Source organism: Homo sapiens, chromosome 5 (genome assembly GCF_000001405.40).
Source record: "Homo sapiens chromosome 5, GRCh38.p14 Primary Assembly".
NCBI classification, from domain to species: domain Eukaryota; kingdom Metazoa; phylum Chordata; class Mammalia; order Primates; family Hominidae; genus Homo; species Homo sapiens.
In genome coordinates, this window is record NC_000005.10 from 146,458,830 (window position 1) to 146,476,950 (window position 18,121).

Genomic DNA, 18,121 nt, shown 5'->3' on the forward strand with positions numbered 1-18,121 from the left:
TTTAATAATAACTGACAGATTTTATGATACCATTGATTTTTGCTTCCGCTGCAGGTTTATTATTATAATGCTCGGACACGTGAATCTGCATGGACCAAGCCAGATGGAGTTAAGGTTATTCAGCAATCAGAACTGACACCTATGCTTGCAGCCCAGGCACAGGTTCAGGCTCAGGCCCAGGCGCAGGCTCAGGCCCAGGCGCAGGCTCAGGCCCAGGCACAAGCTCAGGCCCAGGCTCAGGCTCAGGCCCAGGCCCAGGCCCAGGCCCAGGCCCAGGCCCAAGCCCAAGCCCAGGCCCAGGCTCAGGCTCAGGCACAAGCTCAGGCCCAGGCCCAGGCTCAGGTCCAGGCCCAGGTCCAGGCACAAGTGCAAGCACAAGCAGTTGGAGCTTCCACCCCTACGACCAGTAGCCCAGCACCTGCAGTATCCACTTCAACATCATCATCCACCCCTTCCTCTACCACTTCTACCACAACAACTGCTACTTCAGTTGCGCAGACAGTATCAAGTGAGTACCACTCAGCATGTGTTTTTATATAGGGGCTAGAGACATGAACAAGTAGGGGACTACATTTCATATTGATCCCAGTGTTTCTGGTATTATCCTTTAATACCAGAATTATTTAAAATACATTTTTGACACTAAAACTTTTGGGTTAGAGGAAAACAGGAATTTATATTAACAGGAGAAATTATTTGCCCAGTTGCAGTTTATGAAGCTAAATTGAGAAAGTGCAAAGTTAGCTGTTCCACTTGGCCAACAGTAATGCCGGGCATTGTGGGTTTGCAAAATAAGTGTAAGTCTTGGTCCCTACCTTACAGTTTCCAGTATTCCTAATCGAGGAGGCAAGAATAACACGTGTTAAACAATTAGATATTGGTGTGCAAAACTATACAGTGAGAAAGATGTAAGAATTTGAGAAGTGGATAAATGAGTGGGTGGACTACATGGGTATTTATCATGAAGGAAACGGAGTAGGGTTTAAGCAGGTTCACAGGTAAGGAAAGGATTTTCAGGTAGGAGAAGCAACATGAATAAAGGTCAGGAAAATGATAAATGTAGTTTATGGGTTTTTAGGAAACTTCTGAGGTGAGAGGGTGTTTTTTTTGAAGGGTCTTAAGAACTAGGCAAATAGGTGAGACAGGCACTGGGGGCCTGTATAAATGCAGTATTTTGGAGGATTTTTTTTGGTGTTGGTTTTTTGGGTGGTGATGAAATAAGGGAGGTTTATTAGGAGCTTCTCAGTAATCTCTTTTAGAATAGTTTCTAGACTGGGATGCGAGTAGGTGAATTGAGGAGTTGCCATAGAAGGGAGCAGTCAGAAAGGCAGGAGAATTTTCAGGTGTAAACTCACAGAGGCCCAAAGAGTAGATCTTTTCTGAAAAGGTGAGAGTCGATTAATAGCAGATTTCAGAGATTAAGAGAGGGACACAGCTATTAATTTGCTTAAAAGATTGTTATTAATGTGACAATATTGCTTTCTTTTTGGGGGGTTTCTTTCTTTTTTTCTTTTTTCTTTTTTTTTTTGTATCAATATATGGATGTTGCTCCTTACTCTGCAGGTTGAGACTAAGCCCGAAAGTACTTAAATAATGATTTTTTTATTTGATTATTTGTTATGGCACTTGTCTCAAGATACACAGCTGTCCCTACAGTGTGATTATAATTTGTATTATTTTACTACCAGGATAATTGATAAGAATAAAGAAAAAATGTGGGGTTTTTTTGTGATTACTTCAGGGACTTGGGAATTATTAGTGTGTAAGAAATACGTATAAGAGAGAAATTAATTCACATTGGCTTCAAATTTGAATTTATTTTATTGATAAAAAGCAACTGAAGCAGTCAAGTAAGGTACATATAATATGGGGATAGCCTTTAAAGATCCTCTTAATGGTTTTTAGACATTTTGTAGCGGGGGAATGTACTGAACAGGAAAATATGAATAGTGTTTTACAAATCTGTTTGCTTTTGTAGTGAAGGTGAATTTTGATATGAAAGTATAACAGTCATACTAGCTAGTCTGTTAAGGGTTGTTACCTTTTTATAGGTTTAGTGCTTCCCAAACCTCTGTGGCAAGGCAGGAGACTACCAGTTTTTATGGGAGACCTGTGGTAGTAATGGGAGAAGGGGATTAATAAAAGCAATGTAGTTTTATGTGGAGGCTCTGTGTTGCTTACATTTTCTTTCCTGCGTTCTTAGAAAGGAGAAATAGTAGTGCTTCGTTTTGTTTTAGGAAAGGTGATGAGCTAGATAATTTAACCATACTATATATAGTCCATGTCTGTTTTCAGAGTAGTGTGTCAGTAAGCTCATAGCTGTCTTGTGTCCTGTTTGTCAGTTTTGCTTTACTCTTCAGTGATTGGGAGGACTTTATTCCCAGAAATATAATATAGCAAAATCATATTCTTTTTACTGCTTTTAAACATCAATTTTGATGTTGTCTACGTATTCCAGTGTGTGTTTTTATTTTACTTGATTTAGTATCATAAAGTGTTGTCTTACTGCAATCTTAATATTTCTCCATCTATTATATATAGTCACTTGTCTTTTTTAGTTAAGATCTGAGGCTGGGTTAGTATATTTTGAGGCCTAGTGCTTCACTAGCTACTTTAGCAAATGAAGTTAGTGGGAATTTACCCACTGAAGTCTTAGATACCATTCTCCCAGTTTCCCATTATTTTATTGCTTTTGTTCTTTTCCTGTCGTGACTCATGGCTGCTAATCAAATTCAGAAAATGCTGTGCTGGAAAGTAAGAGGAATGGGTTGTAAATATTTTTTGTCATCTCCATTGGTGTTCTTTTCCACTTGAAATTTGATGCCCTTATTTATTTTCCTGACTATAGTACTTTGGATCACAATTTTAGCAATTATCTGAATACTATAATAATATTTAAATTTTAATTTTCTGAGCTACAGTATAGATCTGTGGGGTAAATGGGACTAAAAATTAAGAATATATTTTAATCCCAGTTGAGCATAAACTCATTTTGTGCAAGTTTGTGAAAAATGATGAAGAAATCCTACTTCTCAGGGAAGTTGGGAACAATGACCAGATACATTTTCAGCCAGTATAGTAGATTACAAATGCTAAATGGTATATGTATGGGACTGGGCAAATGTTGCATGTACTTTGTATTTTTCACACTGTTATAAAATTATATTAATATGATACTGTACCCTAAGGCTAGGTCTATGCTAGACCAACAATTCATTCCTGGGCCCCTGAAGATACTTGTTTGGCCCTGCTGTCTATTTAGCCAAGGTGAGTCCCTCATTAACAAGTACGAAATTGCTCACATCTTCCCAGCCTAAGTGAGTTTTTCATTATTAGAAGCTAGAAAAAGATACTGACAGATTTTGTTGTCAGTTGGATTATTGGGTGATTTGTATTAAATAGTGTGCTTTTGTTTAGAACAAAGTTGGCATAAAGATTGGGAAAGCACTGTTTTCATTTTATTTCATTTGACAAATTCATTCTTAGTCCGATACAGGTAGACATTTTTTTCTTTACATCAAAAAAAGATGAAGTATTTGTTACCAATGAATTACCAAAATGAATTTTATTTTGGAACTAGATGGGTTATGAATAAATAACAAAATTGTTTTGTAACATGTGAGAATTGAAACTGAAAAGTATGAAATAAGGATTTTAGTTTTTAGTTTGATTTTAAATGCAATTACTAGGAATGGGATGTTTTATTTTCGATATTTAAAAATAATGTGTTAGCAGAACCCAAATGATCCTGAATTTCACATTTTCCTGGTCTCTCACAATGGAAACCTCAGTTTAAAAAAATTTTATTTTTTTAAAATAATGAGAGAAACCTGAGTTGTTTTTGATTCCATTCATTCATATCCAGTTAGTCATTAGTTATTTGCTTATCTTTTTCTGTTCTTTTCTTCCTATGCATCTGTGAGGTTAATTCATCAAATGAAACCTGTTTATTACTCTTCCATACAGGAACCTTTAGTTTGCTATATACCCATTTACCTTCATGAAATCACATAAATAATGTGAATGCATTCTTATAAAAAGTTCAAAGTCTAACAAAACGTATATATTAATAGTAAAATGTGAAAGAGGCATTCACAGAGGGTAACTACCATTAATGTATTTTGTCTTGTATTCTACTAGATAATTTTCTCTATATTTACCTAAGTTCTGCCCTTTTCCTATCCATTTAAGGGCATACTCCTTAGCCTTTTGTTCAAGGCTTTCTAATTTCTGCTTCTGGCCTACCTTTCCAGCCACACAACTCACTAGTTTTGTTGGTATGCCTACTGTTTCACTCATTAATTGCTTGCCTTCAATTTTCTAAACAATTCCTTTTGGTTCTTTACTCTTTGCCTTATTCATACTTTTCTCACTGGTTTATTTTTTTCTTCTACCCCTTCCTGCTGTTTTTCTTGTTGAAATCTTAATTTTTCAAGGCGCAGCATCCCAATATAAACTTTTCTATACCCTCTCACAGTTAGAAATGTTCTTTGGGTCTTGATTTTTACTCCTATATGTTTATCCCATTTTACTTTGTATTCATTTTTGTATTTCATTTAAGTATTTTCAAGCTTCTTGAAGATAAGACCTTTTGACAAATTTCTTGCAGTGCATAGAATGGTCCCTTAAATACTTAAATTACTGAATGTGTAAATGATGAATGAATATAGTAAAATGATTTATGAAGGAGTGATACATGTTTTTGTTTTATCTTTTATCAGCACCCACAACACAAGATCAGACCCCAAGTTCTGCTGTTTCAGTTGCCACGCCTACAGTTAGTGTTTCAACTCCTGCTCCTACAGCCACACCTGTGCAAACCGTTCCCCAGCCGCACCCTCAGACGTTACCTCCTGCTGTTCCTCATTCAGTACCTCAGCCAACAACAGCAATACCTGCTTTTCCACCAGTAATGGTACCTCCGTTTCGTGTTCCCCTTCCTGGCATGCCAATTCCACTTCCAGGTAAACCAACAGATTATAATGGTCTTTCCAGCTATGTTTTCATATTGTCAGTTAGTTTGTTCTCATGTGTCTGTTGCGTTTGAAATTTGCCTTGAATCTCACCTGTTTGAAACGTTTTTGAAAGATTCATGGCTAACTGCAATATTTTCTCTTAAGTTTTGGTAAATGTCCTTTTTTTGTTGTTGTTTACATGTCCTAAAATTAGAGCCACATTTAAAGCTACACTTATTTTGGATAATGCCCTCAATGAGTTAAAAATGATTATCTTTTCATGTAAATAATGTTCTAAATGCAATATTTTTGAAGGGTTGAGTTTATGAAGTTGAGAAATCACGTCACAATAGCTAACACAAGTTGGATGATTTATATACAGTGCACTGTTGTAAGCATGTTACATGCATTAACTCCTTTAATTTTTACAACCCATGTTACGAGATAGGTACACAGACAGGTTAAATTACTTGCCCAAGGTCACATAGCTAATAAGTGATGATGTTGAGATTTGAGCCTGTGCCCTCCACATCCAGATAGTAAGCTTTTAATAACTATGTTAATACTGGGAAGAAAATGTGAGTGATTTAACTATAAAACAATTCATATAAAACAGGAACTAGAAGGTTCCCTTGTAACAATTATGAAGTAAAGCATAATGTGCATCATTTAAAAGTTTAAATTGTTATGGTGAATTAATGTGTTATATTGTCTTAAGAGAAGTCATTAAAACTAGAGAAAGAATTAAGAAATATTGTGGAGTGGAATTCTTACCATAGGGTTTAAAAATGATAGTGTTGGGCATTCCAAATTTGAATGCATTAGTTTTTGTCAAACACATTTAATCCTTGATCCATGGTTCATTCTCCTTGTGTTATAGTTGAAAGTATTGGTACCTTAGAGAGGTCAGGTTCACAGGGCTAGTTTGTAGCAAAGATGAATAGAACTTAGGCCTCTTGTCTCTCAAGTTCACATTCCATCCACTTATTGCTACTTTCTTATACTCCTTTCTGTGTAAGAATACAGTTGTGATACAGCTATTTCTTAGATTTGCACACATCTTAATTATCACTATTGCACTGGTTGTCTTTTTCTTTGTGACCACTCTGAAAAGGACACCTTCAGATATACCTTGTCAAGAAAGAAACCAAAAATTTCAGGTTTTTTTTTTAATTTGGAAAACCTTGTATACATTGTTGATGTAGTGTTAGATAATTAAATGCCCATTATGTGGTGTTTAAGAAATTCAAATCATTTAAAAAGAAAACAAAAGATGTTTTCCCTACTATTAGGGATTATCCCTTTTCTAGATTAAATTTAAGACAAGCAGCTGGATACTTTTCTCTATGTGTAATTTTTCTGGGAAAACTAAATCATAGATGGAGAATAGCCTGATATTTGTCACAACCTCTTTTTGTAATTTTGGTCTGCTTTAGGGTTAAGGACAGTATTAAGACCAGATCGTGGATTCTGAGTGATCTCAAGGAGTTGGGGTTGCTCATTTTGTAGAGGGAAGATTGAGAGGTAGCATGATAATGTTGTTGAAGTATTTTGAAAGGCTGTCATTTGAACAACTTTTGCTTTTCTTTAGAGGTTCTTATTAGGACTAATGGATGAAAGGTACACAATAGCAAAATGTATTTCTATAGAAAGTAGAAGTTTCTCACAATAAAATCCCTCTGGCTCTAGCTTCATTTTGATGTCATATTTTCCCCAAAATATGATGACATATTTTGATGTCATATGGAGCAAGCATATCCTTGCTCCATCATTAAAAAGATTTGGACAGGTGGTGGTGACCATTTGAGTCACCAAATGAAGCAGTACCTGTGAAGTTTGGCAGTAGAAGTCATTCAATAAACAGTAGCCATTAGTGACATTTTGGGGGTCAGTTGGAAGAGAACTTGAATTGGATAGTCTAAGATTTCTTTGGAGAGAGTGAGTGTCATACAAAGTGATATATTAGGCTGGGCACGGTGGCTTACGCCTGTAATCCCAGCACTTTGGGAGGCCGAGGTGGGTGGATCAGCTGAGGTCAGGAGTTCGAGACTAGCCTCAACATGGAGAAACCCCATCTCTACTAAAAATACAAAATTAGCCGGGCGTGGTGGTGCATGCCCAGCTACTCGGGAGGCTGAGGCAGGAGAATTTCTTGAACCTGGGAGGTGGAGGTTGCAGTGAGCCGAGATCGCGCCATTGCACTGCAGCCTGGGCAACAAGAGCGAAACTCTGTCTCAAAAAAAAAAAAAAAAAAGATATATTAGCATCAAATATTAGTTTGTTTATTAAGACTTTTTGGTATTGATATTTGTTCACTTTTCTCATTTTCCCTTTTAACTCAGTCCTACAAGGTGTTTAGTAAAAAACAAGGACAAAGAAGACTTGTTTTTTTCTTCCCCAAATCTTTGGTTTTACAAACAATGAGATTTGTGTCTCCTGGTTTTTGCCTTTTAATTCAATTCAGCAATAAGGTGAATGGGAAGGATTTGTATGTAATTTGTCTTGGAGGCTTAATTTCTCTTTGAAATAGTATTGTATGGGTCTAATGAGGATGATTGAGGAACGGATGGTCAAACAAGATAAAGGGAAGGAGTGGAAGAATTAGGTAAAATACAAGAGTAGGGGGTGGAGTTTGGATAAATGGGTCTAGGATTATAGGAGTTCTACTTCTAAAACTATAAAATCTTATCTGGAATTTTAAGAAACTTAACTGTCTGTGACATTGGAATCATCCAAAATGCTGAGTGGAATTTTCTTATTTCTTAGATAATAATTTGAGGACAGAGTTGTAGGAAAATTGAACAAAAGCTCCCTCTAAAAAAAAAGGTTAAAAATTTAGATTTTTATTTTGCGAGTATTCACAATCTGCATGTAATCACTTTGAGAGAAACTTCAGTGTATCTTTTTAGCATGAGAAGAAACACAGGACCTTTCTATATGGTCTGTATGTTGATAGTCAAATAGAAGAGTTCTGCGAGCCCAACTGATTTTTAATAATGGTGGTTAAGCCTATGTATGAATAGATTTGATTTTCTTCTGCATAAGTTGTATAGTTAAAATTATTTATTGGAAGATGGTTTTGGAGAACAGTCTTTGAGAGTAAAGTTCGTATATTCATAAGAATTGAATTTCCTGTGCTGAGTTTAGTAGGTTCAGTGCTCCTGCAGATGGCAGTATTTATACTGATTAAACTTAATCCATGCTGTAACTTCCTTAACCAAATGAATTTTTCCATTGCTTTCTTTCAACATTAGGGAAAATAAAATTATACATATAACTTTATTCAACATGCTTTCATGATCCAATGTTTTTATTTTAGTTTAAAAGTTAATAGAAAGTTTACTTTATTCTTTATATAAAATAGTAATTAAGAAATAAAGGTACTTTTCAATAATTGACACTATTTTTGTTTGCTTGTGTGAACATAGTTAAATTGTATACAAACCCAGGAGTTTAATTTTACTTTTAGTCTCAGAGGTAGGAGAAATTTTTTTCCTGTCCTTTAGTGGGGAAAATAGTTTATTGTTACTATTTTTAATTTTTATAGAGTACCAACTAAGCTTAGTTTTTTCAGCTGAAAAAAATAAAAAAGTAAAAATTATTGCCCCTATACTTTTCTTCAGACTTTGGCCTTTTCCTCTAAAAGTTTTTAATTTTCTCAGTTAATCAGTCTTAGTTTTGCAGCTTTTCTTTTCATTCCCTTTTTAAAAATCACCATTGTAATGCATCATGATGAGTCTTCATTCTTCTAAGAACTGTACATAATTTTCATTCTTTAATACAAGTACTACTTCTTTAGTTAGCTTAAATGATAGAAGTTTCTGCAGCCATCAGCCCAAGTAGTCATTAGTGGTATTAAAGGGGCTGTATGTTTCTTAATGTTTTAGCCTGCTTCCACAGTGTTCTAAGGCCATGGGGTTCCATAGAGCAGGCACTAAACATGGATATTTTGGCATTAGTGAAATGCTACCTTCCTCTTCATCTTTGCCTTTCTTTTATTTAAAGTATTATTTGCAGTGGAATATTTGGATCCATCTCATACCTTACTTTCTTCCTCTCCTCACCACCCCTAGCTTATTCCTTTTTTACTTCTGCATGGTTGTACTCCATGCCTCAGCTCCTGCATGTAGTTTCAACTTAGCGGCAGCATAGAGAAAGTGTCTTGTCAGTGTCATGCTGCATCTGCCTTTTACTGGTATCTAAGCAACAGCAGCATGGGTTTGATGTCCTGTGGGAAAATGTCCCACATGAGAATTTGTTATGTATGTGTAATGAAGGGGCTTTCTTTTGTTGAATTTAAACTCTTAAGACTCCTTCAATATGTTCAGAGCTGGTTTGATAAAAAGGTAATTGATGGTATCATTTAGAATTAGTGTCATTGGATTTGGCAGCACTTCCCACAAAATGTCAAACAGAAAGAAATTTTACTCCATTCTTGGTCTTTTTCATTGGAAATAGCATTCTAAATTGTAGTGGTAAATTATTTCCCTGAATCCCAGTGGTAGCCGACATACAATGGCAGCTTTCCAACGTATGCTTGCTTATCCATTTTACAGGTGTAGCAATGATGCAAATAGTCAGCTGCCCGTATGTAAAGACAGTCGCTACCACCAAGACCGGTAATTTTTAAAACCATCTTAGTTTGTTTTGTCTGTAAGTTGGCATGGTAGTGAATGTTGTTGTTTATCCTTTTATTTATTTTTTGCCCAAGTGAGTGGATATTTTTATATTTTTCTTTTTAATGAGCAGTATAAATGCAGTTGTCATATTTGGCCAACACTTAATTTTCCCAATTGCCTGTAGTATTAGCTTCTTTGGTTCACAAAAACAAATAAGGTCAGATCACTTTATATCTTAATTTATGTAATAAGTGTAAACAACTTCATTCTCATATTCATAACATTTAATTTTATTTTTGATGTGTGTTTTTAAGTTAAATATAAAAAAACATTTCCATGTGTAAAGTGATGTGATTATGCTTGCATGCTAGTGAGTATATGTGTGTGAATACATGTGTATAGTATACATTTACATTTTAAAGTTATTGAAGTAAGATAACTACCTGAAACTTAAAATTCAGTATAGGATTTGAGGACTTTTTTTTTTTCCAGTTTTGATTCACATATCCTTATTTTAATAGTATTTTATTTATATATTACCAGCTTATTTAGCTGTCTTGTAAAAAATATAAATCTTGGTTTGTCTTCTAAAAAGTAGACGAGCTTTGCTTTCTCTTAGGAAAAGAGTAAACAAAGGGTATAAGGATATTTGAGTTAATCATTTAGAGTCGATAAACTCAGTCATTTGCTATAAAACTGAGAATATTCATACCCTTTTAGTTACCTTAAAATTAAAAATAATTTTGCCTAAGGAAATATGTGTAGTAAATATGTTTGTTGTCTTCATTAGAATTTGATAAATTATCTTCATAAAAATAGATTTCTATTCATAAGTAGAGAATATACCATGTTTTTAAATATTTATTATGTTAAGACTTTGTCATAGGTGAGATCCAAATTTCTGACTGTTTTTAAGGGTTGAATTTCTGTGTCTAATTGAGTTTAGGCATTAGAACTAAAAATCCAGGGAAATAGAATTAAGTGGTATTTTTATGTCACCTTTTTATATGATTTTTGTTTTGTTCCAACTGGTCCATTCATTTATTAATATTTAATAGAAAGATTTAGCTCATATTTTAGAGTTTTATTTTGTATTGCGGTTTGATACTTGGATCTAATTTTTTATTATTCTTTTTTTAGGTGTATTGCCAGGAATGGCCCCTCCTATCGTACCCATGATACATCCCCAGGTTGCTATTGCAGCTTCACCTGCTACCTTAGCTGGAGCAACAGCAGTTTCTGAATGGACTGAATATAAAACAGCAGATGGGAAGACATATTATTATAATAATAGAACATTAGAATCAACCTGGGAAAAACCCCAAGAACTAAAGGAAAAAGGTATATAGTGGTTTTAATGACTTGGAAAGTAGTATAAACTGTAATAAGTAGAATGGTATTTGAAATTCTGAGTTAATTTCTTTTTAACATATTTGAGGGATTTTCTAATTACACAGTCATTGGATTGTTTATTTTTACTGAATTGATAAATATTTATTTTAAAAACTAGTTCTACTTACATGTTTGTCATCATTTTTTTCCATCTGGAGAAATGGTTATATGTACGTACATATGTATGTACATATTTTTACTGTTAGGAATTTTCTAATTATATTGCATAATTATTGTAATCATCATTGAGATTGATAATACAGATCAGGAAGGAATGTGTTTTTTATATGTGTTCTGAAGAAAAAAATTTAGGCCCTTAGGGTCTTAGATGTAGAAGATTCATAATTTTCTATATCACAAGCTGCTATTATTATTGTTGTTTTTAAAATTTGAGACAGAGCCTCACTGTGTTGCCCAGGCTGGTCTTGAACTCCTGGGCTTAAGCAATCCTTCTGCCTCAGCTTCCCAGGTAGCTGAGGATTATAGGTATGTGTCATTGTGCCCAGCTCACCAAACCCCCTTTTCTATTCCTAAGTATCTTAGTATCTTATCCCTTTTAGCAAAATGAATGATTGCTACAAATGATATATGAATGACCTGAAAGATTTAATGTGCCTTCGAAGTCAGTAGGTCATCTTCAAATCAGATAGTTACCTGATTGGTATAGCAAGGTATTTGAAGTTGTGCATTACATAAGATTCAAATCAAAGATATAAGGAAAGACATTTTATCTTCATGGTTAATACTTGGGAATGGAATATCTTAATGGCTTATTCTCTGAAAGTTCTTAGAAAATTACGTCAAAACCTTTGAGTGACATTATCTTAATTTTTTTCATAGAAAAGTTAGAAGAGAAGATTAAAGAGCCAATTAAAGAACCCTCTGAAGAGCCTCTGCCAATGGAGACGGAGGAGGAGGATCCTAAAGAAGAGCCTATAAAGGAGATAAAGGAGGTAAAGGGCCATGACCTGTTAACCTGGGAGCCACATTAATTGTTTCCTACAGCTTACTTGTATCTGAGTATCTATTGGATAGATTTAAAAATAATTGTTATAAATTTGATCTCTGAAATTTTAGGATTCTTGCAAGTTCTTAATTCAGTTTTTTCTTTGAAAGTGTCATTAAATTACTTCTTGTACTAAACTGAGATCCATAGAAAGACAGGGCCTTGGACCAGAGCTTGGACCTGATCTCTAACCTTCTGACTTATAAACTGAGTGGTATTTGTTAAAATTATAAGTGTAACTTCTTACTTGGGGAATGTTAGATATATTTTATCTGTCCTTTCTGCTGTTGTGTTCTTGCATAGCATGATCCATGTATAGCACTAAAAGAGTTTTTTATTCAGTGAAGGATCAGTGGTAGTCGTGTTTCAGTAGCAGGAAAGCTAGCAGAAATAAGAAACAACCTTAAATGAAGAGGTATGTACTGTAGTTCTCCATATCTGCTCCTAAGCACATGGTTAGTGAGTCTATAAGATAGGACAAGCTGCTGCTGCTGGGTTCTGCTATTGTGAAATTCAGCTCTTTCTGGGGGATGAGGATTTAGAACTTTCTTCCTACTCAGAGTCTCCTCTTATTCTAGCAGCAGATTTTGTGTTGATTGCACTTTGAGCTGTTTGCCTTCATGTTTTTGTGGAACATTCAGGTATTGTTAATGTGATACTAATTAGAGTAATATCATTTCTTGTAGGAGCCCAAAGAAGAGGAGATGACTGAAGAAGAAAAGGCTGCCCAGAAGGCAAAGCCAGTTGCTACTGCTCCTATTCCTGGTACTCCATGGTATGTATTTGGCTCAAGTAGTAATTTTTTTTTTTTTTTTGAGACGGAGTCTCACTCTGTCACCAGGGCTGGAGTGCAGTGGCACGATCTGGGCTCACTGCAACCTCCACCTCCCTAGTTCAAGCGATTCTCCTGCCTCAGCTTCCCGAATAGCTGGGACTACAGGCACACGCCACCATGCCCAGCTGATTTTTGTATTTTTAGTAGAGACGGGGTTTCACCATGTTGGCCAGGATGGTCTTGATCTCTTGACCTCGTGATCCGCCCGCCTCGGCCTCCCAAAGTGCTGGGATTACAGGTGTGAGCCACCGTGCCCGGCCTCAAGTAGTAATTTTTAAAAATCATACTTGATTGTTACATGGTTTATTTTGTAGAAAGAAAAAGTACTTTAAAAAGTGTATGTCAAATATGTTTTTATCTACTGAATATTTTGGCCTTTGTTGTATTTGAGTTATTCAAAACTGAAGTTCAATTACTACAAGTGTCTTCCTAGTACTACTCTCCATTAATGTGTATTCTTCATAATTATAGACATGACCACTGTGAGATCCTGAATCTACTTTTTGTTTAAAATATTTTAAATTTGTTTTTGCATGTTTACTCACTATGCGATTACATTTATAGAATTGTGTAAAATTATGTCTTTCAATCTAAGTATGGCATACCTCATTTTATAGTGCTCCACTATCTTGTGCTTCATAGATACTGTGTTTTTAAAAATTGAAAGTTTTGTGGCAACCCTGTATCTAACATGCCTCTTGGTTTCATTTTTTCAACAGCATGTGCTCATTTTGTGTTTCGGTGTTACATTTTGGTAATTCTTGGGATATTTCAAACTTTTTCATTATTTTTATATCTGTTACAGTGATCTGCGATCAGTGATCTTTTATGTTACTGTTGTAATTGTTTTGGGGTGCCACAAACCACACCCATGTAAGATGGTGAACCTAATTGATAAACGTGTGTGATCTAACTGTTCCACCGACCGGCTGTTCCCCATCTCTCTTCCTCTCCTCGGGTGTCCATTTTCCCTGAGACACAACAATATTGAAATTAGGCCAATTAGTAGCCCTATAATGCCCTCAAAGTGTTCAAGTGAAAGGAAGAGTCACATACCTCTCACTTTGTGTGTGTGTGTGTGTGTGTGTGTGTTTTGAGACGGAGTCTTGCTCTGTCGCCCAGGCTGGAGTGCAGTGGTGCGATCTTGGTTCACTGCAACTTCCGCCTCCTGGGTTCAAGCGATTCTTCTGTCTCAGCTTCCCAAATAGCTGGGATTATAGTTACACGCCACCACGCCTGGCTAATTTTTTGCATTTTTAGTAGAGATGGGGTTTCACCGTATTAGCCAGGATGGTCTCGATCTCCTGACCTCGTGATCCGCCCACCTTGGCCTCCCAAAGTGCTGGGATTACAGGCATGAGCCACCATGCCCAGCTACATACCTCTCACTTTAAGTCAAAAACTAAACATGATTAAGCTTAGTAAGGAAGGCATGTCAAAAGCCGAGATAGGCTGAAAGCTAGGCCTTTTGGGCTAAATAGCCAAGTTGTGAATGCAAAAGAAGGAAATGAAAAGTGCTATTCATGTGAACATAAGAATGATAAGAACCTTATTCCTGATAATGGAGAAAGTTTGAGTGGTCTGGATAGATGATCAAACCAGCTACAACATTTCATTAAGCCAAAACCTAATCCACAAGAGATGCCCTACCTGCCCTCAGTTCTGTGAAGGCTGAGAGTGGTGAGAAAGCTGCAGAAGAAGAGTTGGAAGCTAGTAGAGGTTGGTACATGAGATTTAAGTAAGAAGCCATCTCCATAACATAAGTGCAAGAGGAAGCAGCACGTGCTGATGTAGAAGCTGTAGCAAGTTATCCAGAAGATCAAGTTAAGGTTATCGATGAGGGCAATTACACTAAACAAGAGATTTTCAGTGTAGACGAAACAGCCTTCTATTGGGAGAACATGCCATCCCAGGACTTTGATAGCTAGAGAGAAGTCACCGCTTGGCTTCAAAGGATGGGCTGACTCTCACCATCTCTCTGGTGACTTTAAGTTGAAGCCACTGCTCATTTACCATTTTGAAAATCCTAGGGCCCTTGAGAATGACGTTAAATCTACTCTGCTTGTGCTTTATAAATGGAACAGCAGAGCCTGGATAACAGCATATCTGTTGATAGCATGGTTTACTGAGTTAAGCCCACTGTTGAGACTTACTGCTCAGAAAGAAGTTTGTTTTTTTCCTCAAAATATTGCTGTTCATTGACAAAGCACCTCTTCACCCAAGAGCTGTGATGGAAATGTACAAGGAGATGAATGGTGTTTTCATGCCGCTAACAACATCCAGTCTGCAGCCCATGGATCAAGGAGTCATTTTGACTTTCAAGTCTTATTACTGAAAGTAATAAGGCTATAGCTGCCATAGATTGTGATTCCTCTGGTGGATCTGGCTATAGCTGCCATAGATTGTGATTTCATCAGGCTATAGCTGCCGTAGATTGTGATTCCTCTGGTGGATCTGGGCAAAGTCAATAGAACACCTTCTGTAAACAATTCACCATTGTAGATGCCATTAAGAACACTGGTGATTCATGGGAGGAGGTCCAGATATTAACATTAACAGGAGTTTGGAGGAAGTTGATACCAACTCTCATGGATGATTTTGAGGAACTGAAGACTTCAGTGAAGGAAGTCACTGCAGATGTGATGGAAATAGCAAGAGAACTAGTATTAGAAATGAGCCTGAAGATGAGCCAGAATTGCTGCAATTTTATGAGAAAACTGTAATGGGTCAGGAGTTGCTTCTTATGTATGAGCAAAGAAAGTGAATTCTTCAGATAGAATCTACTGGTGAAGATGCCATGAACATTGTTGAAATAATAAGGGATTTAGAATATTACATAAACTTGGTGGATAAAGCAGCAGCAGGGCTTCCATTTTGATTGATGCCAAACTTTAAGGAAGCTGTACTGTAGGTAAAATGCTATCAAACAGCATTGCATGCTACAGAGAAATCTTTTGCGAAAGGGGGAGTCAATTGATATAGAAAACTTCATATTTGTCTTATTTTAAGAAATTGCCACAGCTACCCCAGTCATCAGCAACCACCAGCCTCATGAGTGTTCAGCCATCAAGAGATTGAGGCAAGACCCTCCACCAGCAAAAACATTATGATGCCCTGAAAGCTCAGATGATAGCATTTTTTTAGCAATAAAGTATTTTTAAATTATAGTATGTACATTGGTTCTTTTGGACATAATGTTGCACACTAAATAGACTACAGCATGATGTAAATATAACTTTTGTATATGGTGGGATACAAAAATTTTGAGATTTACTTTATTGCAATATTTGCTGTATTTTGTTGGTCTGGAGCTGAACCCACAATATCCGAGGTACGCCTGTCTACTTCTTTTTTTCTCTTATCTTGTTTTTCCCTTTTCTTCCTTTTGCCACATCTGTGCTTCATTTCCTGTTCCTGCTCCAACTTATTTAATCTATATACAATCCACACATTGCAATGATTTGGCTTGTTTCTGAAGTCTTGTAATCTATAGGTTCCCTTCTGACTTCTTTTCCTTGTTTTTGTTATTGAAGAAATAAATGTTTTTCCTATAGTGTTCCCAAGTCTGGATTTGTCCCCATGGTACTGTCTAATAGGATCCTCCATTCCTGAATTTCCTACAGACAGGCAAGCAGGTCTAGAAGTGTGATCAGATTCGGATTTAATCTTTTTGGCAAGCCTAGTTCATAAGTGATGATTATTATTGTGTAGATCAGATGTTTTCAACTAGGAGTAATTTTGCCCCTAGTGGACGTTTGGCAATGCCTGGAGACAATTTTTGGTTGTCAAAACTTGGAGGGTGTTAGTGGCATCTAGCAGATAGATGCTAGGGATGCTCTAAACATCCTATTATGCACTGGACTGCTCCCAACAAGAATTACTTACCTAGCCCAATATGTCAGCAGTGTAAGATTGAAAAACTCTGGCCAAGATTGATTAAATCATTAACCCGATTAAATCATTAACCCATTTATGCTGAAGGTTGCAAATTTTTTTTGTGAAAAATCAGACCTTGGCAATGACCTTGAGCAGTAGGATATAAATCCCACAAGCTTAGCGTTCCAATAATGGAACACTAGGCATAACTGTGTTAAGGGTTGAAAGTAGTGGTAATGTATTTCTTTTATTCCCTTTTCATTAACTGGGATGCTTATAGAGAGATACTTCCCCTTATCACCATTGGTCACTTAGAGGTACAAATTGTATAGGAAGGGAAGGGCTTAGCAGTTTTCAGAATAGTGAGTTGGTTTGAGTATTATTCATAGGTTTAAATATATTTTCTATGTTTTTAATCTATTGCAGTTTTTATCCTTATTGATGTTTAAAATTGTCTCATCTTTGGTCAGGAGAAGCCTCTTGCGCTAACTTTTTAGGTTTTTTTTTGTTAAAATCCTCTGTAGCTTCCCTGCTTTCTGCTGTGACAAGATGTTCTAGGCTTATCTTGTATATATTTCCTGTCTCAGACCTAGACTGAGCCATTTCTGCAGGGGGCTCTTGGCACTTTTGTGGGAAGTGGATAGTTTGCAACTGAATTAGTCATTATTTTTAGACTTCTTTGGCAGACCCAGCTGGAAGATATACACATTCAAAGATACAGCATGAGTTGATACCATTACTTGCCATTTAGATCTACCTGAAGATTTTTATTGAACCTCATCATCTATCTTCAGTATCTCATTTCTTGCTGAAAATACTGTTTCTCAATGATAGTGACCTAATTACTCATTTGCTTTTCTCAGACATGTCACTGAGTAACAATACCAAAACTATCACTAACAATATAATTACTGAAGATAGTTTTTGTTGTTGCTCTAGGAATGTATAATCAAATTACTGTGTTTTAAAGGCACTTGGAATAGTTGTTTTCTGTATAATTTCTATATAATTATTCCACTGACTGTTACACAGGCTCATTTAAAAAAAATAATTATGGAAAATATTTACTTGGTTTCAAAGTTATAAAAACAGTCTGTATTCCAAGAATATATTCCTGGGTTGTGGTTTCTCTGTTTGAGTATTGTACATGAAAAGCTAGTAACCAACTCCAAACCCCCTCAATTTGGAGCTTCGTGGTCCTCATTAATTTTCGGACTTGGGGGTCCGTCCCCACCTCCTCTGTTCTTCAGATGAGATAGTTAATTATTGATTTTTTATTTTATTTTTTTGTGACAGGGTCTTGCTCTGTCACCCAGGCTGGAGTACAGTGGCACGATCATAGCTCACTGCCCCAGCCTCCTGCCTCCTGGGTAGGTGGGACTACAGGTGCATGCCATCACGCCTGGATAATTTAAAATTTTTTATTTTTTGTAGAGAT

At 36.1% G+C, this 18,121-nt stretch overlaps 1 protein-coding gene across 76 annotated transcripts in view; it reads left to right on the top strand.

Moving 5' to 3' along the window:
- Window positions 1-18,121, top strand: part of TCERG1 (transcription elongation regulator 1) — a 64,632-nt gene that overhangs the window by 11,500 nt on the left and 35,011 nt on the right. For 38 of the 76 annotated variants that reach the window (NR_174406.1, NR_174414.1, NR_174446.1 and 35 more), the window contains exons 4-8: window positions 55-508; window positions 4,722-4,964; window positions 10,715-10,915; window positions 11,807-11,919; window positions 12,659-12,747. Coding sequence is in view for 23 of the 76 variants with exons in the window: in XM_047416659.1 (XP_047272615.1) it covers window positions 55-508; window positions 4,722-4,964; window positions 10,715-10,915; window positions 11,807-11,919; window positions 12,659-12,747 (1,100 nt within the window). In the remaining 53 variants the exon portion in view is untranslated. Of the gene's footprint in view, window positions 1-54; window positions 509-3,188; window positions 3,268-4,721; window positions 4,965-9,511; window positions 9,575-10,714; window positions 10,916-11,806; window positions 11,920-12,658; window positions 12,748-18,121 lie in introns of all 76 variants that reach the window. The other 38 variants (XR_001741983.3, NR_174450.1, NR_174448.1 and 35 more) reach the window with 10 other exon arrangements.